General features: G+C 35.4%; 1 long non-coding RNA gene across 2 annotated transcripts in view, besides 1 other annotated feature; it reads right to left on the reverse strand.

Moving 5' to 3' along the window:
• The window catches only part of LINC01876 (long intergenic non-protein coding RNA 1876), a 234,397-nt gene that overhangs the window by 45,549 nt on the left and 165,908 nt on the right, over window positions 1–22,940 (reverse strand). The window lies entirely within an intron of this gene.
• Window positions 17,389–18,588: an enhancer, noted in NCBI's record as "MED14-independent group 3 enhancer chr2:156939984-156941183 (GRCh37/hg19 assembly coordinates)". NCBI's record gives its function as "activates an origin of replication core promoter dependent on BRD2, BRD4, P300/CBP and CDK7 cofactors, and independent of MED14, by STARR-seq in HCT116 cells {active_cell/tissue: HCT116}" and the evidence as "EXISTENCE:reporter gene assay evidence [ECO:0000049][PMID:35650434]".

Here is a 22,940-nt window from a genome sequence, read left to right on the forward strand (position 1 = left end):
TTCAATGATTCCTCCCCCACCCACAGAGGGCGGTATTGTGAAGAGGGAAAAAAGAAGCATGAATTCTGAAAACATGCATGCGGAGGTTGAGAATCTGAAAATTTTGTTTCTTTAATGGTGTACATGACTGAGTACCTCCTGTAAATGCTTTATGTACCATCGGAGTACCCAAAGACTTCTGACCTGGATTACCTTTCTTCCTAAATTTATTTTTGCAGGTAATACCCACCCCACTTTCAAGACCCAAGTCCAAAAGTACACTTCCATGAAGTTTTCCTGATCCATGTTCCACCCACCCTTTCCACTACACAAACACACACAGCAGGATGTGACTTTCTGTCTTTTGAAAACTTATAGTAAGATTCTCTATGTAACATCCTTTTTTATAGGACTGGTCTATGATACAGACATGAATTTCATTTTTAAACTCCCCTTTAAATAGTTAACTACATATCTGCCTGCCTTAAAATTTGTGTCCCCTGAAATACTTAGCACATTGCTTTGTAAATGCTGGGTACTCATTTAATTATTAAATTGAACTATATTATAATTTCTTAGATTGGTTGTCTTTACATTTTTAATCATATACTCTCATTGATTGAAAATTTCAAGCTTCTATTCTCAACACATTTATTTATGTATAAATTTTACTTATACATATGCTTACTATATTATATGAATACAATATATGCATATAAAATATGCAAAAATTATAAGTTTAAGAGATATTTTGAAAGTTTTATTATGTAAAATAAAAAACAGAAATGCTAATTTTTCCCAAATCCACTCATCAAAGTTTAGAATTCTCTGTCTTATGAATATAATGAGATAATGACTTCTCTTCTACATTACTACATAACTAGTGTCTGAATAGTTCATTGAAATATTATTCTGTGTGCTTATTCTTCGATTTTACTACTGAGTTTAGAAAACAGAAAAAGGAAAAATAATTCTGAACCAGGAGCTCTTCCTGTTTTCTGTAAAATCTAAGTGCATTGAGAAGATGAAATTAGGTTCCATGGAGGAAGACAGGAGAGAGCAGGGGAGAGGAAAGGAGCAGGGAAAGGAGATGACAGGGAGAGAAAGAGAGAGTACATTGGTAGATCCCTGGTGTAGAAAGAGTGGGAAAGGCAGCTGGTCTCAGGATTACTAAAGAACTGAGTCCCATTCTCACTCTATCAGATAGATGAGTTAGCAGGCTGCGGAAAGGGTGACTGGATAGTGGAACCAGTGTTCCTAAACCTGGCAAAGTTCTTCCTAAAGCTCAGGTGACGTCAAAGCAGATAATTTTTGGAGTTCACGAGATCACCCAGGGTTGGACCTGGGTATATCAGTAGTCTGATAACAGTCTGCCAGTTCTGGACACTAAACAGTGCCCCCAGTTCCAAAGGCTTTGATAGGAAAAAGGAGCTCTAATAATGACTGAGATGAAATTTGATGCCAGCCAGGCTGGATGCAATTGCAAAATCAAAAGAAAGATGATTTAAAACAAGGATGTGATTATTCTTGCACGCCTGAGTATATGTACCCAGGTATTTATACCTGCCACATGTTCTATCTTGAATCTACTACTTCTTTGCATAGCTGTTTTGATATCTCTTTTGATGGTGCTTTTTGATTCTCTCATTTCTAATTGGTAACATTTAGAATAGTTCCTCGTATGTATTATGTTCTCAGTCAATATGTTTAAGAGATGAGTTCATTTATTAGAAACTGTTATTCATCTTATAAATTATAGGTGTTTATATCTGATTTTGTTTTTATAATTAAACTCTTACTTAATTCAGCAAATCACAATTACCAAACACCCAAAATCAAAGGTGTTGAAATTAAGAAGTGGCAACATTCCTAGCAAAAGTTAATTAGATGAAAATTTTAACATCAAAAATTAAAAATGATGGTGAAGGCCAACTCATGGTGACCATGAGTCGCAGGTGCTATCACACAAAGGCTAAATGCCAAGTGGTGAAAGTAATTACTATGTAGGTGATTACCAAGGAAATAGAATTCTTTTTCATTATTACAAGGTAAGCTTTTTTTTCTCGCTAGAGAGGTTTTGATATCCTATCCATGCTACCAAATGTCTTTGCCAATAAGACTAACTGTATTTTTCAGTTTATCACTATGTAAAATTGTCTTTCTAGGTGAGATTATCACTAAAAATAAAAAAACCCTACATTTTAATAAGAAGTGAGGATAGCTACACTATACTTTGAAAATATTTAAAATAAGTTGATTATTGAATAATTATCTTCTATGTGAAGTTTTGCTCATTCACACAAGTACCTCCAATCTAACTCAGTAATTAAATCTTTCACCACAACTTGGATCTGAATCTACTCATTGCGTGCTCTCAATGTATTGTATAATATGTCAGTTTGCTCCAGAGTACTTCACACAATTACATCTTCCCATCTAGAATCTGGTTCTTTTGCTTCAGGGGACAATAGGTTCTACTGAAACATCTTAAGGAGTCTGATACGTTATATCTCTGATGAAACACAATTACTAACTCCTGTTTCCACACACCCACAGTCCTTTAACCCTGCTTACATATTTAATGGAAGTGAAATGGTGCAAACCCCCACCTTGTCTACATCTATTAAATTCTATTGAGTTCTTGAACATCCTATAAGGTAGACCATCTTTTAGAAGTGTCTTATAGGAAAAATAAGTAGAAGGCATATATAAGGAAAAGATGGATACTAGTTATAAGAAAAAAATTAGTTAGAAAAGAATTATTGGATTACAGAGATTAGTAAAAATAATAGAAATGATAATCATCTCTTCCCTTTTCCTATCCTTCTGAAGGTAAGTTGCACTAGATTGGTGCGCTCCCTCTCCTGGCGTTTCCCGCATCTTGTTTACCACATCTTACATTATTAAGGGAAAAGAGAGAAGCATGGACGCGTTCTCTCTAAGAGATCTTTGTTGTTGGTCTCATACATGCTAAGAATATTTGAATTGGTACGAAGTACAATTAATTTTTTATAATTAAGGCAAAAGAAATTAACTAAGCTAAGTCACTCTTATAAGAAGCTTAATAACCCATAATCTTTTACTATGTCTTATAAGGAATGGGGTGATAATTTAATTTTATATTCTAATTTATTAGATTAGCACATCATTTCAAGCCATGAAGTCTCACTGAATAACAAAAACATTCATTTTTTGAGGCTTGGTTACAAACCCAATATATGAAGGGTCTGTTTATTACTAATGTTTTCTAAAGCCAGATATTGTTCAGCCAATTAAATTTTGTTGGAAAACAACTTCTCATGCCCTTAATAACTTTTTTTCTTCAGTGGAGCTCAGTATATTTTACCCAGTAATATATTAACACTATATGTCTATGAATTACAATGAAAAAATTCTAAAAAAGTTTAGAAAAATTGGTCATGTTAAGGTTATATTAGGTCAAAAATAAGCCCCCAGAAGAGCACTGGACTCAAGCGAATAAAAACATTCCATTCATGGACCACTTGAACATGTCCTGCAGAGGTCTATAGCTTAAAGAAAAAATTTAATTTCTTTGCCTTGAAGGAATATGTTAAAACTAGGTCTGTCCTGGTTAGTATGGGTATTGGGATTATGTTCTTGGCTAGATCATGGTTAGTGACGTTAACCGCCATGGTTAGTGGGGTTGTCATTGAGAAAGGCAACATATAAATCTGTTTCAAGGAGTTTAGTTATTTGAGCTTCACATTTGCAGGTTCACTGTGTTTGCAGATTCCTGGAGGAGTAGAACCTAACAGTCTACAACTAAGCTTGCATCAAATAATATGAACAAAATAATGTAAATGATATGAAGAATTAAATAGTTTTAGATGTTAATTTTAAACACTTGTATTACCTGAAATCTACCCCAAGAATTAATCTGAGACCCAACATTGTTAGCCATTTACAATGATTAAAACTACATTGCTCCCCTCCTTTATTACTTGGAACTCTTGTAAACAGCAACTATATCTCTTTTAGGATAGTATACACATCACATGTTTAAAAACATGATATTTTATTCTTATTAAACATTCTAAAGGCATTTTGAGGAATATACAGGACACAACTTCTAGGGACTGTGCGTTCTTGAAAGAATGCTTGCAATTTTCTAAGACTTCATATAGCAATAACACTTTTTATATAAAACAAATACAGCATTATCAGAGAAAATGGTCAGCATAATGTCTTGGTACCTGCCTAAATGAGCTTACAAAGGTAAATAATATTTTAAATGCATAACTCTGTGTAAAAAAGGGTAGATGGCAAAAACTACAAATGACTTTGGGATCCTGGGTAGGGAGGTAAAAGGGAACTGGTGCAGATAAATATTGAAGGAAGAGCAAAAATTTAACCTCAGCCAAGAATAACTGGATAGAATTGAAATGGGTAAAAAATAAAAAATGAAGAACACTCTCAATAAAGGGAAAGATATCTTCACAATTCTTATTTAGTGGCTAGAAGAAAGTAAGAGGCTGAACAAGAAGCCCTAAAGTGTTTAGGAGGGGGTGAAGAAATTACATTCCCTCTACTGAAAACTACAAATTATTTTCTTCCAGGGAGGATGCGTGTCTTTTTATACTCTGCTTAGCAAGAAGGGAAGCATAGATAAATTTCATTAAAAATAAATATAAAAAGATGTGTCTATAGCAAAGGCATAATCAAGCATGGATCCAAAACATATTTGCTCTCTTTGAAACAAATGTTGAACAATTTACTTGTATAGAAAGGTTAAAAATTCTAGTCAACAGGTATCATTATGTGTGTAAAACAGCAGAGAAAACAGCAATACAAAATAACTAATATTTTTAAATGCCAGCAAAGATTAAAGATCTTTAAAAGTTATTTTCTAATAGATCCTCTACTTTCGTCTACAAACAATTCATGTTTCATTAATGTTTATGTGGTTTGGATAAGACTTATGAAAGCCATCACTTAAAATTGGAATATAGATGTTTTTACATTTTTCTGACAAGTCATATATAGTGAATCAGTATCAGTTCTCTCTTTTAGTGTTTGGAGTAAATCCTTAAATAAAGCAAAGGACCTTTAATTTTTATTACTTAAATGCTTAATGCATAGTTTAATTTTTAATGTGGACTTTTAGATGATGCCAATTTTTATTAAGGTTAACACACCCCTACTAGAATTAGCACAAATTAATACAAAAATCAATGAATCCCTTCTCTCAAATTCCTAATGTGAATAAGATGCAGCATCCCCTCACATCAAGAAATGAACAAAAACCATTCAATGAGAATGAGATACAAATAAGCAGTATAGGCTGTTAAAACAGACAGTAGGGGTCTGAAGGTTACAATTTTGTTACATTTTTAGTATAATGTAACATCAAAGCTTGAAAATTTTATTTCTTTTTTTCTTTCTCTTTTTCCTTAGAGTCTTTTAAACCAACAGCATTAATGATAAATGGTATATGTCAAACTCTAATAACTAAAAAATCCCGCACCTTTCTGAAACAGTCTCCTATATCCAATGTCATTTGGGTATATGTGAGGTACATTGTACTCTTCGGATGGACTTTTAAAAAATACATATGCCACATTAAAAGAAAGAGACAAAATTGATGTGATATGTATGTGATAAAATCTGACCAGAAAGACCCTCTCATTGCATTTATAATGGATTGGCTTTAACTTGTATTTCTTTTCATGGTACATTTAAAGAAGTCTAAAGTCTATTCTCTCTCCCTGAGCAATAAGCATTACCTATTTTACTTTTTGTAAGTGAATTACTTTGAGGATTTCAGTTGAGTACTTTACCTAAACCCCACAGATAGATGCCATATAATTGTTGCCACATTCTTGATTATCATCAAGATACATTGCCATGATAACTTGAAATACTTGGCAAATTTACTGGACATTTTATATAGTGCATCTTGGTTTGAAAATGTCAAGCAAAAAAAGTCAGAGCAACACCGTCTTTATAAGCTCTCCACTGAATGTGAAGGGCTGCCTAAGACACACAGCTCTGACTGCCGGGTTCCTAATCACAAAGCTAAATGACTCGGGTGTTATCAAACTTATTTCTTCCAGGTACTCAAGTACCAAAATGACAAATCATAGGGGTGGCTGTTAGCCTGAAGACACTTCTGTTCTATTATTTAAAGTCTGTTTTTTTTTAATGTCTGAGATTTCTATGTGGAAAAAATAATGAACTTTAAGAAATGTCACTTTTACTAACAGAAATTATGGCTTGAACACCTGAATATGAATATTAAATACAAAAAAGTACATTTAAATAATGTTAAGGTTGTGACACAAACTGACAAAAGCAGCAAAATTCAAAGTTAAGGATGACACTCCACCTTAACTCACCCTGTTAAGAGGGGGAAAAGGGCAGCAGAGTGTACAGCTGGGAACGCTATGTTGGCCTTCATTCTCTGTCGCCTGATTGTGTCAGACGGTGTATTACCCTCCATAATATTTAATTGGTTTTTGGCATTTGATTCCCTCTCTTTTGCTTAAGAGAATTTTTGGTGCTCATTTATAAAATGTCATTTGGAAACCTATACATATTGATACTATACTTTTGGGGGTGACTCTTGAGAGGGATATCATTAGAGTTGTTGAGGTGTGTGTGTGTGTGTGTGTGTGTGTGTGTGTGTGTGTGTGTGTGAAGGGAGAGGGATATTTATCAAACAATGTGAGCATCTAAGAATAATAATAAAAACTAACAATTTTCAAGTGTTTGCTCTGTGCCAAGCATTATTTTATGTGTTTACAGGTATTAATTTCTTCAAACTTCATTTTTAAAAAATCTATAAGGAAGTTACCACTGTCATCATCATTATCATTATACTCATTTTACAGATGGGAAATTTAAGCCACAGTGACCTTGGCCAAGATCACAAAGTAAATAACTACCAAAGTCAAGATTCAAATCTGGACTCCAAACAAGTTCTTAACCATCATGGCCAACAAAAATAAAAGTGACCAGGAATGTCACCAAAATTGAGTCAACAGATTCTATTACAATAGCTAGTACATGGCTGTAGCCAATTAATATATTCTAGTATTAATCAAGCAGAAATTATACATTAAGCATCTATTATATGTAAAGCGTCAGAGTATGTGCTTTGGATAAATGGAAGGAAGCAAGAAGAACTAACATTTATAAGAAACCTGATACATGCCGAACACTTCGCTGAGTACCATGCATATATCTCACCTAATTGTTTCAAAATCACACCAATATTTGAATTACAATTATGGTTTTAAAAATGAATAAACTAAAGCTCAAAAAGATTCAATAACTTGACCAAGTCCCCACACAATTCCGGGTGTTGCCCTATATTATCTGTGCAAATTTTTTCAAGATACCTAGCTTCTCTGACCCTTTTTTTTTTTTCACTTAATATAGAGAGAGGAAAACAGACCTCCTAGGGTTATTGTGGTTCAATCAATCTTGATTTTTCCAAAAGAAATCTATTGCCAATCTATAAAACAACAAATATTTGCTTGAAGCCAACAATGTGCCAACTACCTTTTTTGGGGATTGAACCTTTTAAGAATAAATTAATGCTGGTCATAGTATATCATATAAACTGTTGGTAAAAAAAAAAAAAAAAAAAAGATGATTAGTGGAACTTAGCTCTATGTCACTTCCACTTCTATTAATGTCTATCAAACAAGATGGATGTGACATAAAAACATCCTATTATATTACTAAAAAGAATCCTGGAGTTTATCTCAACCAAACTTCTTTGTATTGGTGCATAAACTGAGTTTCTCCCACCATTATGTAGCCTGCCTGAACTAAACCACGGATTAATACAAAGGTCTCTGAAGCCCAGTTGAACACATTTCTATTTCACCATTCTTTACTTTGTCATCAGTTGTAGAAACTATCTTTACTTTAGAAATGCTACACTGTCTCTTGATCATTTTTATCTAAATTGATGATACAGTCATTGATAATTCAAAAGTCATTGATGATAATAATTTATTAGCTGGTAATTCTTTGCCACCACTCCAGATCCAGGTTCCAGCCTTTTCTGCCCTGTTTGGAGCAGTGGACTGACCCACGCAGACACAGGATGGGTGTGGAGGTCTCTATTTCTGTGCCTCTCCTTTAGCAGCACTTTCACCCTCCATGTTTTCTCTCCTACTGAGTACAAGCACAGCTCCTGGCTCTAGGTTGTCCTGGCCTCCAGGAACTTTATTTCCTCCCACGGCTTCTTCTGGCCTAAGAGTGATGGAGTCAATAGTATTATTTTTGACCCATACTCAGGGAACCTCATTGTAGATGAAACTCATATCCTGGCACATTAAACTTAGACACGGCTATGTGACCAATTTGGCCAATGAAGAGCAAAACAATTTGCGTAATTTCTCAAGAGAAATTTTAAAGCCAACCTTTACCATGTTCTTATTTTCTGCTGTCATAACTAGCAGTGTTCTTATAGAAGCTGCATCATCAGCCTGTGTCCTAAGGGAAGACAACAGGGAGCAGAACCACAGCTGACCCACAATAACATGTTCAAAATAGAGCATGAGTTGGAAATAAGTGTTTTTAATTCATTTATTTGGAGTTTTTATTACCATTGCATAACCTACCTCAGTGGTTTTTAATTTTTAGCATCTACCAGAATGAACTAGAATGCTCACTAGTCCCACATGCAGAGTTTCTGATTCAGTGGGTCCAACATAAGAACTGAGAATCTGCATTCCTGACAGATGATATTGATGCTGCTGGTCCAGGGGCCAGAGTCTGAGAATCACTGTCCTAGTTGCTCGTGACTGATACAGATGGGATGATTTCATGCTATTAGTCTCATGTAGACTCCACTGCCTGCTTTTGCTTCTTTAACACTGCCCACGCCTCTCTACAGAATGATTTTTATTAGATTCTCTTCAGTTGAAACCATCCAGGTGGAAATTCTCCTTCAGGCTAGGAACCCAACACCTTGAAATAAAGTTGTTCCTGACATTGTTCAAAAACTATGAACATATGTTATTTCTTATGATCCACACAACCACCTTGAAAGTTGATAGCACAGATATAACTTAGTAAATGAGGAAAAAGAGTTTCAGATAGACTGAGACTGGTCCCTCTGGGTGGCTAATTTGCTTCAAATCTTAGAGTGAATTTAGGTGGCTCCTACTTCATATTCTTTTTATAACACACTATAGACAGTGTTGTAATATAACCTATGAGTTTTTGTGTGTGTGTTTCCTCTTAATAGTGCATTTCTAATTGCATTTTACTTTTAAAATGATAGAGACTAGTTTCAATCCCCAGAGGGAGCAAAAACCATACTCTAAGCTTTCTTAGAAAGGAACAAAATAACATATGTTCTAGGGACAAACTTAACTTGACCAATAGTGAACTCAGCAAAGAATGGCAAGACACTTAGCCATAGGATTTAACAATACCTAAATTAGTTTTTGGTCCCTGATTACCACAAACTAGGCATCAGGAAAATGCAGAAGGGTGCTTGATATTGAATTAGAAATTTTAATTATTAGTACAATAATCCTGAAGTCTTTCCATCAGGACCATTATTCACATATATGAATACAATAAGTTATGCTCTTGAAAAAGAAATCTTGAAACAGTTCACATTTATGAGAAAAAATGTAAAGGTGGATAAGCTTACTGGATGTGCTTTATACTTTATTTTTATTCAAATTTCTTTTTATTCAAGTTTCAGTATCAAATACTAGGGCTTATTATTACAGAAGTGTAAACGTGTTTAAAAAGATTTCCATTGCAATGGAAGATAATCTAAATGTTAGTCAATAATAAATTATGATACTTCCATTTAATGGAATGCATATTATATATTTAAATGAAAGAGTATATTGCAAAACAGCATGTACTACATGAGTTCAGTTTTTCAAATGTGTATGTGTATATGGGTACATACACAATTATACAATAAATATTTGGAAAAAATTCTAGTATATTTAGCAAAAGGTAAATAATGGTCATCTTAGGATGAGTAGTATAGATGGAATTCATTTTCTATATTATAGTTACATATTTTCTGATTTTGCAAATTTCTGGAAAAAAGTAGGTAAATTTCTGAATTTATAAGTTTTCTAAATTTTGGCAATAAACAGACATTGCCTTTAGAATACCTGTATGACAGATGAAATATAATAGTGGTGTTCAAAAAAAAATAATGAAAGAAAGAGGCAGATGTTTTAAGGAGCTAAAAGTAGACACGCAAGAATATACGGTGGTTCACAAGTTTAGAGAGTAGTCTAGAATAATAAAAAATTAAAAATAACAACAAACAGCATAAATAATTTTATATTTATTAGGTTATTTTATGATAAAAATTCTTAACGAACTAGATATAGAAAGAATGTACCTCGACATAATAGAGACCATGCATGACAAACCCACAGTTAATAACATACTCAGTGGTGGAAAACCGAAAGCTTTTTCTCTAAAATCAAGAGAAAGCAAGCATGCCCACTCTCACCACTTCTTTTCAACATGTATTACTTTTTGAATATTTAGGAATTATTTTACAGTGTGGAGATTTTGTAAAATACAAAAAAAGTTAAGTAAAATTAAAATTAAATTACAACTAGGATTGTGTTTTGTGTTTAGGAGTATACTTTTAATTAATATTTATAAATGAATCTACCAGATTAAAAGACATAATTATAGAATTTAGGCATTTACAGTGGAACAAATGTTCTTTAACATGTTGGAAAAAAAGATGCTACCTGCATAATTGATAAACTATAATTAGAAGAAAAGATTAGAAGTATAGAGAATTACATCTCCAGAAAACCAGAGGAAGAGGTGACTTGGATATCTCTTGAACATTCCTCTTAGTTATTGACAAACTATCAGATTAAAAACAAAACAGTAAAATCAAAAGAATTTAGTCAATATGTAAAATCTGTCTTTTACTTAGAGTTTAGGTTTACTGCTTTACCTAATGAGAGCCAAAAGCTGCCATTGCTTAATCAGTGAAAGAGGTAGGAAGTATCAGTCAGGGAACAAAAAGCAAGGAGCAGAGAGCTTCTAAACAAGACTCTGAGCTTTCTATTTTTTGCTGTGTGGTTAAGTTCCCTTCCAGGGTGCTGAATGGAAGCAACCGGCTTGCTTGTGCAGAAGGATTATCAGTAGTAGACACAGCTGTTCAGGTCTGGCACACAGTGGTTTGGTTTGGTTTGGTTTTCTCAATTTGCCAGCTCTCTAACCTCCCTCACCCCACAGCTGTTGCTCAGAGTCCTCTAATCCTCCTCAGAGAACACAAGAACTAAGCCTGGAGCCTACCTCTACCACCCTTACCCCCAAAGGTAAGCTGCCATCACAGATAGTAAGGTTATTTTCTCTTTGCTGTTTTGAAACAATGTTTGGAAAAAATTTGAGAAAGTGTACATAGTAAGAAAAGTTTGATCTCCACTTATATGAAACCCATGTCTACTGCTGCCTTTTGAAATCTTGGCTTTCATTATGATTCATACAAGCAAATGCAATGTTGGAGGAAATATCTTCACCACACCTCAAGAAGGAAGAATGTTGGTTTCAGAGCCCTACAGCATTTATCTAGATGTCAGGTATTAAAAAGCCCAACTAAAAACAAACAATGAATACCAAAATAATTTTTAACTACACAAAGACTTAATTTGTGAAAAATTTCCTATCTCTAGGACTTGACTAAATAGAAAACAATAAAACACCGAGTTAAAGCTAGATTTTTCTAATTTGTAAACCACTCAATTTGTTCATCAATGATAATAATAAAAAATCTAGGTTGGTGAATATTTTTCATCAAATGAGTGGGAAATATTTTTCTTTGATTATCTTATCCACTCATTCATTTGGTTTACAAATATTTGTTAACTACCTGCTATGTGTCAGCAAGGTTCTAGGTACTCAAGACACAATAATAATCAGAAGTTACCAAAACCTAAACAAACAAACATACAAAAACCCTTGGCCTCACTGAATTTAAATTCCAGCATGGGAGGCATATCATAAACAATGGACATAATAAATAAATAAACTATCAGGATTTTAGAAAATGATACATGCTATGAACAAAAATAAAGTGAGATATAGATTAGAAGTTCTTGGGAGATTAGCAATTTGAATAGTTGGTGAAGGCAAGACTTATTGAGGAACTGATAATTTGATCAATGACTTTAAAGAGGTGAGGAAGTTAGCCATGTGCTGTTTTTTTCCATAAGTTATTGGGGTACAAGTGGTATTTGATTACATGAGTAAATTCTTTAGTGGTGATTTGTGAGATCCTGGTGCACCCATCACCCAAGCAGTAAACACTGCACAGTATTTGTTGTCTTTTATCCCTCACCCCTCTCCCACTCTTCCCTGCAAGTCCCCAAAGTCCATTGTATCATTCTTATGCCTTTGCTTCTTCATAGCTTAGCTCCCACATATCAGTGAGAACATATGATGTTTGGTTTTCCATTCCTGAGTTACTTCACTTCGAATAATAGTCTCCAATCTCATTCAGGTCATTGCAAATGCTGTTAATTCATTCTTTTTTATGGCTGAATAGTATTACATCATATATATATATATATATATATATATATATATATATATATATATATATATATATATACACACACACACACACACACACACACACACCACAGTTTCTTTATCCCCTCATGGATTGATGGGCATTTGGGTTGGTTCCATAATTTTGCAATTGCGAATTGTGCTGCTATAAACATATGTGTGCAAGTATCTTTTTTTGAATAATGTCTTCTTTTCCTCTGAGAAGATACCTAGTGGTGGGATTGCTAGATCAAAAGGTAGTTCTACTTTTAGTTCTATAAGGAATCTCCACACTGTTTTCCATAGTGGCTGTACTAGTTTACATTCCCACCAGCAGTGTAGAAGTGTTCCCTGATCACTGCATCCATGCCAACATCTACTGTTTTTTTATTCTTTATTGCCATTCTTGCAAGAGTAAGGTGGTATCACATTGTGATTTTTATTTGCATTTCCCTGATCTTTAGTGATGTTGAGCATTTTTTCATATGTTTGTTGGCCATTTGTATATCTTCTTTTGAGAACTGTCTATTCATGACCTATTTCTCTTTGTTTTTATTGCAATTGCATTTGGGTTTTTGGTCATGAAATCCTTGCCTAAGCCAATGTTTAGAAGGGTTTTTCCCATATTATCTTCTAGAATTTTATAATTTCAGGTTCTAGAGTTTTTTTAGTTTAGGTTTAAGTTCTTAATCTATCTTCAGTTGATTTTTGTATAAGGTGAGAGATGAGGATTCAGTTTCATTCTTCTAAATGTGGCTAGCCGACAGCACCATTTGTTGAAAAGGGTGTCCTTTTGCCACTTTATGTTTTTGTTGGCTTTGTTGAAGATCAGTAGGCTATAAGTATTTGGGTTTATTTCTGGGTTCTCTATTCTATTCCATTGCTCTATGTGCCTATTTTTATACCAGTACCATGCTGTTTGGGCAACGATGGCCTTGTAGTATAGTTTGAAATCAGTTACTGTGATGCCTCCAGTCTTGCACTTTTTGCTTAGTCTTGCTTTGGTTATAAGAGCTCTTTTTTGGTACCATATGAATTTTAGAATTGTTTTTTCTAACTCTGTGTATTTTGATGGGGATCATGTTGAATACATAGATTGCTTTTGGCAGTATGGTCATTTTCACCATATTGATTCTACTCATCCATGAGCATGGGATGTGGTTCCATTTGCTTGTATCATCTACGATTTCTTTCAGCAGGTTTTGTAGTTTTCCTTGTAGAGGTCTTTTGACTCCTTTGTTAGGTATATTCCTAAGTATTTTTTATTTCAGCTATTGTAAAAGGGGTTAAGTTCTTGATTCGATTCCCTGCTTGGTCACCATTGGTGTATAGAAGAGCTACTAATTTGTGTACATTAATCTTGTATCTGGAAACTTTGCTGAATTCTTTCATCAGTTCTAGGAACTTTCTGTAGGAATCCTTAAGGTTTTCAAGGTAAACAATGATGTCATCAGCAAACAGGGACAGTTTGACTTCCTCTTTACTGATTTGGATGCCCTTTATTTCTGTCTCTTGTCTGGTTGCTCTGGCTAGGATGTTCAGTACTATGTCGAAGAGAAGTGGTAAGAGTGGGCATCTTTTTCTCATCCCCATGCTCAGAGAGAATGTTTTCAACTTTTCCCTATTCAGTATAATGTTGGCTGTGGGTTTGTCATAGATGGCTTTTATTACATAAAGGTATGTCCCTTGTATGCCAATTTTGCTGACAGTTTTAATCATAAAGGGATGCTGGATTTTGTCAAATGTTTTTTCTGTATCTATTGAGTTGATCTTGCGATTTTTGTTTTTAATTATGTTTATGTGGTGTATCACATTTATTGACTCGCATATGTTAAACCATCCCTGCATCCCTGGTATGAAACCCATTTGATCATGGTGGATTATCTTTTTGATATGTTGTTTGATTTGGTTAGCTAGTATTTTTTTGAGGATTTTAGCATCTATGTTCATCAAGGATATTGGTCTGTAGTCTTCTTTCTTGGTTGTGTCTTTTCCTGGTTTTGTTACTCGGGTGATGCTGGCTTCATAGAACGAATTAGGGAGGGTTCCTTCCTTCTCTATCTTGTGGAATAGTGTTGAAAGGATTGATACCAATTCTTTGAATGTCTGGTAAAATTCTGCTGTGGATCCATCTAGTCCTGGACTTTTTTTTGTTGGTAATTTTTTAATTACCATTTCAATCTTGCTGCTTGTTATTAGTCTGTTCAGGGTACCTAATTCTTCCTGATTTAAGCTAGAAGGGTTGTATTTTTCCAGGAATTTATCTATCTTTCTAAGTTTTCTAGTTTATGTGCCTAAAGGTCTTCACAGTACCCTTGAATGATCTTTTATATTTCAGTGGTGTCAGTTGTAATAGCTCCTGTTTTATTTCTCAGTGAGGTTATTTGGATTTTTCTCTCTTCTAACTTCTTTCTAACTTCTTGCTAACGGTCTATCAATTTTATTTATCTTTTCAAAGAACCAGCTTGTTGTTTCATTTGTCTTTTGTATTTTTTGGCTTGTTTGTTTCCATTTTGTTTAGTTCTGCTCTGATCTTGGTTATTTCCTTTCTTCTGCTGGGTTTGGGTTTGGTTTGTTCTTGTTTCTCTAGTTCCTTGAGGTGTGACCTTAGACTGTCTGTTTGTGCTCTTTCAGACTTTTTAATGTAGATATTTAAGGCTATGAACTTTCCTCTTAGCACTGCCTTAGCTGTATCCCAGAGGTTTTTGATAGATTGTGTCATTATTATCAGTCAGTTTGAAGAATTTTTAATTTCCATCTTGATTTCGTTTTCGACCCAATGCTCATTCAGGAGCAGGTTATTTAATTTCCATGTATTTCCATGGTTTTGAAGGTTCCTTTTGGAGTTGATTTCCAGTTTTATTCCACTGTGGTCTGAGAAAGTGCTTGATATAATTTCAATTTTCTTAAATTTATTAAGGCATATTTTATGGCCTATTATATCTTGGAGAAAGTTCCATGTGCTGCTGAATAAAATGCGTATTCTGCCTTTGTTGAATGAAATGTTCTGTATATATCTGTTAAGTCCATTTGTTCCAGGGTATAGTTTAAATCCATTGTTTCTTTGTTGACTTTCTGTCTTGATGACCTGTCTAGTGCTATCAGTGGAGTACTGAAGTCACCCACTATTATTGTGTTGCTGTGTGTCTCATTTCTTAGGTCTATTAGTAATTGATTTATAAATTTGGGAGTTCCAGTGTTAAGTGCATATATGTTTAAGATTGTGATTTTTTCTTTTGGACAAGGCCTTTTACCATTATGTAATGACCCTCTTTATCTGTTTTAACTGCTGTTGCATTAAAGTTTGTTTTGCCTGATATAAAAATAGCTATCCCTGCTTGCTTTTGGTGTCCATTTGCATGAAATGCCTTTTTCCACCACTTTACTTTAAGTTTATGTGAGTCCTTATGTGTTAGGTAAGTCTCCTGAAGGCAGTAGATAGTAGGTTGGTGAGTTTTTATCCATTCTGTGATTCTGTATCTTTTAAGTGCCACATTTAGGCCATTTACATTCAATGTTAAAATGGAAATGTGAGGTACCATTGGATTCATTGTGCTTTTTGTTGACTGTGTACTTTGTTTTTGTTTTGTTTTTCTTTGCTTTTTAACATGTATTTTTGTTTTATAGGTCCTGTGATTTATGCTTTAAAGAGGTTCTGTTTTGATGTGTTTCCAGGATTTGTTTCAAGATTTAGAGCTCCTTTTAGCATTTCTTGTAGTGGTGGCTTGGTAATGCTAAATTCTTACAGCATTTGTTTTCTGAAAATGACTGTATCTTTCCTTCATATATGATGCTTAGTTTCTCTGGATACAAAATTCTTGGCTGATAATTGTTTTGTTTGAGGAGGATGAAGATAGGGCCCCAATCCCTTCTAGCTTGTAGGGTTTCTGCTGAGAAATCTTCTATTAATGCGATAGGTTTTCCTTTATAGGTTACCTGGTGCTTCTCTCTCACAGCTCTTAAGATTCTTTCCTTTGTCTTAACTTTGGATAGCCTGATGACACATACCTACATAAGGATCTTTTTTGCAATGAATTTTCCAGGTGTCCTTTGTGCTTCTTGTATTTGGATGTCTATGTCTCTAGCAAGGCTAGGGAAGTTTTCCTCAATTATTCCCTGGAATATGTTTTCCAAGCTTTTAGAATCCTCTTCTTCTTCAGGAACACTGATTATTCTTAGGGTTGGTCGTTTAACATAATCCTAGACTTCTTGGAGGCTTTGTTCATATTTTCTTATTCTTTTTTCTTTGTCTTTCTTGGATTGGGTTAATTTGAAGACCTTGTCTTTGGGCTCTCAATTTGTTTCTTCTACTTATTCTATTCCTGACACTTTTCCAGAGCATTTCACATTTCTAAAAGTGTGTCCAAAGTTTACTGAATTTTGGATTGTTTTTTCTTTAAGCTATTTATTTCTTAGAATATTTCTCCCTTCACTTCTTGTTTCATTTTTTGGATTTCCTTGCATTGGGCTTCTCCTTTATCTGGTCCCTCCCTGATTAGCTTAATAATTAACCTCCTGAATTCATTCTCAGGTAAATCAGGGATTTCTTCTTGGTTTGGATCAATTGGTGGTGAACTAGTGTAATTTTGGTGGGGAGTGTGGATGAGCCTTGTTTTGTCACATTACCAGCATTGGTTTTCTGGTTCCTTCTCATTTGGGTACGCTCTGTCAGAGGGAAGGTCTATGGCTAAAGGCTGTTGTTCAGATTTTTTTGTCTCACAGGGTGTTCCCTTGATGTAGTACTCTCCCCCTTTTCCTATGGATGTGGCTTCCTATGAGCCAAACTGCAGTGATTGTTTCTCTTCTGGGTCTAGCCACCCAGCAAATCTACCTGGCTCTGGGCTGTTACTGGGTGTTGTCTACACAGAGTCCTGTGATGTGAACCATCTATGGGTCTCTCAGCTGTGGATACCAGCGCCTGCTCCAGTGGAGGTGGTGGAGGGTGCGATGGACTCCGTGAAGGTTCTTAGCTTTGGTGGTTTAATGCTCTATTTTTGTGCTGGTTGGCCTTCTGCCAGGAGGTGGTGCTTTCCAGAAAGTATCAGCTGTAGTAGTATGAAGAGGAACCGGCAGTGAGCAGGGCCCTAGAACTCCCAAGATTATATGTCCTTTGTCTTCTGCTACCAGGGTAGGTAGGGAAGGACCATCAGGTGGGGGCAGGGCTAGGCGTGTCTGAGCTCAGACTCTCCTTGGGCAGGTCTTACTGGTACTGCTGAGGCGGATAAGGGTGAGATTCCCAGGTCACTGGAGTTGTTTACTTAGGAGGCTTCTGGCTGCCTCTGCTGAGTCATGCAGGTTGTAAGGGAAGTGGGGGAAAGCTGGCAGTCACAGGCCTCACCCAGCTCCCACACAAACTGAAGGGCCAGTCTCATTCCCACTGTGTCCCCCGCAACAGCCCCAAGTCTGTTTCCAGACAGAGGGCGAGTCAGGCTTGAAAACTTGCCCAAGGCTTTCCACCTCCCAGCTGTGAAAGAAAAGGGCTTTAGTTCTTCCCCCGCCTGTGAAGTCTGCAAGCCAGATTCACACCCTCCCCCAAGTTCTGCCCAGGAGGCTTCTCGCCCCGCTCAAATTGTTATAAAGTTCAGCTAGGGAAGATTTTCTTTCCGTGGAGTTATTCCCCCTGCTCCACTGGCCTCCCTCCTGATGGATCCCTATGGTGTCAGGCAGGAATGGGCTGCTTGAGGATTCAGCGAGATCCCAGGGCCTCCCTGCTGCCTCCTCCACCCCTGTATTTCGCTCGGCTCAGCTCTCTAACTTGACTCAGTTCCAAGTAAAGTTGGGAACTTCGCTGGCAAACAGACTTCAGCTTCTCTAGTCGGGGGGTGTGTTCAGAAGAGGAGGGTCTCCCTTTTCCACGTCCGTAGTTGGGGCACTCACAGTATTTGGAATGTCTACTGGGTACGGCAAGAGCAGTCCGCTTCCTTCAGAGGGTCTGTGGTCCTCTCAGAATTGCTGTTTTGTCCTTGCAGTCGATCTGGAGCTAAAATTCACAATGCAAGCCTCTGCATGCTGCTCTGTCTGGAGCTGCAATCTAGTCCTGCCTCCCATCCACCATGATCCTGAGATCACCTCCATGTGCTATTTTAGAAGACATTTTATTCAGAGATAATAGGAGGCAGGGAGGCCAGTGTCGATAAAGATGAGTAAGAGGAAGAGAGGTAGCAGATGAGAAGGAATGATGATCAGGCTATGTGAGCCTTTGTTGAATACATTGAGGACATGGCCTTTTTTTTCTGAAATGGGAGCAATGTGAAGGTTGTTTCATAAGTGTCCTTTAGCTGTAAAATTCCTTGTGGCATGGGAGTATCAGCAGAAACACGGAGACCAGTTATGAGGCTTTTGCAGTAATTTGGATGACATAATGGATACCCTACTACCAGGATAAAAGTAACTTAAAATATTTTTTGCTGAATGAAAAATTTTTGGTCAAATTTTTAAGTCAGCATTATAAAAAGATTATAATTATAAAATGATTGTCAATTAAAATTCCTACCATGGAAGTCCTCAGAAAAGGGCAAGTTGGAGATGTAGGCCAAGTTGTCAACTGCACATGCATCCTGGTATTGGGGTTCTGAAATGTTTTATCTTCCCCCAAGTGTCCCTCTAATAGTTTGTCATGGTGACATGGTGACCCTACACAGTCATTATAAATATGCTCAGTACCTGGGAGGGAAGATAGGAGCTTACTAACAATTTAGATCCTATGAGTACACTGGATAACATTTTAAATTGTGTAGTCAGGGCCTTCTAAATCAGAAACTGGAGAAAAAGTTATTGCAAACCTAACTATTTTGGTTACGAGGAGGCAATTATAATAAAAGGAAATCTCTACCTGGATCATTTGCTATGGCTGTCCATGTACAACACAGAGTTTCTGCCATGGCGAGCATCTGTAACTCGTACTAAACACAGGAAGTTAGGGTGGGAGAGAGGTCTGAATCAAGATAAAGAGGCTACTGCATTCCCACATTTCTCAGTCTGTTTCATAAAATAGAAATTGTTAGAGAAATAAACAGTCATTTCCAAAAAAAGAGTCCTGGGAAATGATGCCTTCAACAAATTTAAATAAGTTTATTTCCATCAAAGCTTGTCGGAGCCTTTAATATGGTAATTTTCATCACAAAAATTCAAGAGTTTAATATTAATATAATATGCTCAATTTCTCAATGTTATTTGACAGTGTTACTCTACAGTAAATTCTTTTCAATCTTCTTTGTATCTTTCACCATCCTAGCACCTCGCATCGTGCTTTGAGTAGGAAATAAGAGAGTAAATAAATCCATCTTCCTAATTCTACAATTAACTTGTTTTCTAATGAAGACTCCAAAAGTGTATGACTCAACTCTAATATCTAAAATATCACAGAAAAGCAGCATTTTCAAATTTAAAAAAAAAAGGGAAATAGATGTGGCTCTAATTATAATGCTTTCTCTTTCTGTAAAGATCTTGAATCGTGTAATTTACAAAATCATTTTCAGTAGTCTATAAATACTAAATAATAGTTAGATATCCATATATGTATATCTCTACATACATATACACATAGTCTTACAATTGTAACACAGCTTATACAAATGTGAGCTTAACTTCGAGGTATGGTTGCTTTAATATATCATTCTTCTAAATAATAAGTACTTGAAACAATCAGTATACTTGTCTTTTGTCATTTACTATGCAAGGTAAATTGAGTAAGAATTTAACCCAATGTGATCCTAAGTCAAAAATCAATGTTTTGTTTATCTACTCCTAACAAGTATAAAGACAGAATGTGAATTAACTAGATATTAATCTATTTTATAACACACTTGCAATAAGTAACCTGAAACTCTTATTTGTCTACATTCTCAGTCCATTAAGTAGCTTCATTTCAAATAACTAAATAACTATAGATATCATCAAAAGTCTTTGAACCAGTCATTTAGAAGCTTTTGTATGCCAGGAATTCTATTCTTCAAAAACATATATTTGGGATTGTAATGGTAACTAATCAGTTTACATCTGTGAGTGTTGTCTTTGTACACGCACATTCGCACACTATAAATGTAGGGTTTTCTTCCTGAATATCCTGTCTCCACTATGAATTGAAATGAATTGATAGTGAAATTTTATTTTTAAAATTGTAAAAAATTTCCTATGCATAAAATAACAGCAAACATTCTTTCATCTACTCTGTCAGGTTCATTCTATAATGAATAGTAAAACACCTTTTATTATGTAATTGGAAACAGGTTATTTTCAAAAAGAATTTTTAATTAAAAACATCTACCAAAAAATTTGCCTTCTAAAAAGAACAAGAACATTTAAAAGTTTTAGAAGCTCTAGCTAGCCCATCTGGCCAATATAATGGTCACAGGTGGACTCAAGAATGTGTATATAGCTATCCCCAGAAAGGTTCCTGGAAACCTCTCCTCTCAGAGCCTGTCCATCTCTCAGTGGGGCAGGGGCATCTTCCTCTAATACACAGAGGCAGTGCTATATTGCATCAATTGGTGTCTTAGTCTATTCAGTCTGCTATTAAAAAAATCTCATAAATTGGGTGTCTTATAAACAACAGATATTTATTTTTCAGAGTTCTAGAGTCTAGGGGGTCCAAAATCAAGGTGCCAGCAAATTCTGTGTCTGCCGAGGGCCTGTTTTCTGGTTCATAGACAGCACTTTCTTACTGTGTCCTTATATGGTATAAGAGGCCAGGGGTCTCCCTTGGGCATCCCTGTCTCCTAATACCATCACTTTGTGGGGAGGTAGGATTTTGACATCCGAATTTTGGGAGGACACAAACATTCAGACTGTAGCAATAGGAGAGGCACTCAATTAGATATGTTTGCACAAAGAAAAAGCAATGACTATTTTGATATTCATGATACTTATTAATATAGTTGATAGTATTTGGCATATTGTAGGTTTAGATATGGAATTTAATAACTTTATAAGTCACCTATAATCATAATTCCCCAAACTCTTTGAGGTAAAAAGAATTAATGGAAAAAAAGAAAATGAAAGGCTTTCTTTTTTTCTGATTTTGAACAGATGCACTTCAGAAAAATGGTGGTAGTGTCCTTTTGGTAAATCAGAATGTCAGCTGAGTATTTTTAAAAGTAAAAAAAAAAATAAAATCCTGGACTTTCTCCGAAAGGTTAAAATGGTTTAAGTAAATTTAGTCAAAGTAAATGACATCTAGTGAAGAATACAAGGAAACTATATTTATTTATAAATGCTTTCACTTAAATTCTAAACAAGCAATTTACTAAGCTATAATTTCAAGGAATTGTGATGTGATTCTGACAAAGAATATCAAGAATTTTAAATGGTAAAGAAGTGATGGGTGGACAAAGGAACACAGGTTGATAAAAAGATTAATCTACAGTCTCAGGCATCTTAATGTTACAATCTATGGTTATGAGTAATCATTTGGAAACAAAACTCCTCTAAGTGGCTCTTGTCCTTTTCCTGCCCTCACAGTACTTAACCAGCTGTAGCTGACATCAACGCAGGAAGTAGCCACATTTCTGCAAATCAGAGGCAGTTAAGAGAGACATATATTGTCAGCCATTAAACCAGCTTTTGATGTAGTATCAGGGTACAAGCTTTATCACTCAACATGTACATGAGGTTAGTTTAGTCATAGTGTGAAAGAATTATTTCATTTAGCAGATACTGACATTTCACCGAATAAAGTAAAAGTAAAATGAAATGCAATGAGTTAAAATAACAATATAAGTAGGTTATTAAGAATTAACACTGAATGCATCCAAACCTGTTTGTCTCCAAACATGTCTGACATCATGTTTACATGGTTATCAATGCCACAAACAGCAGAGGTCTGGCCTGGTGTGGGTCAAATACTGATAACTATTCAGCATTTGTTTTAAGGTAAGTTTGATTCCTTGGATATATTTCCATATTTATTTAATCCCTAGCAAAACATGCTTTGCCTTTTTATGTCATCTTAACAATAGTCAAGTTCAGATATTCAGGATACTTGGAAACTTCTGTGTACGGTAAAAGATGGATTGTTCTATCTCTCCTTTGTGTAGTCATTTACTAACACCAGAGTCACCCCCTTTCACTCCTTAATCACTTAGACAACAGGCTCATTGCCACTCTCCCTAGCATTACTCTGCTTGGTCTGAGTAACGTAACTGTCCACATCGACGGCTCTGTCAACACTCAGGTCCCTCATTCCTTTACTTCCACTCCTAGGCCTGTCTGCCATTCTCCTCTGCTGACTCAGATTCATGGGCATACCCTAGGGGTTGGCAAACTATCTCCATGGGCCAGCTACTTGTTTGTTTTGTTTGGTTTCGTTTTTTAATAGACATTATTTTTAGAGTAGTTTTAGATTCACAGCAAAATTGAGGGGAAGGTATAGAAATTTCCTACATACTCCCCCACCCCCATCTGTACATTTCTTACAATGATGAGCC

This window comes from Homo sapiens, chromosome 2, assembly GCF_000001405.40.
Source record: "Homo sapiens chromosome 2, GRCh38.p14 Primary Assembly".
In the NCBI taxonomy this organism is placed as follows: domain Eukaryota; kingdom Metazoa; phylum Chordata; class Mammalia; order Primates; family Hominidae; genus Homo; species Homo sapiens.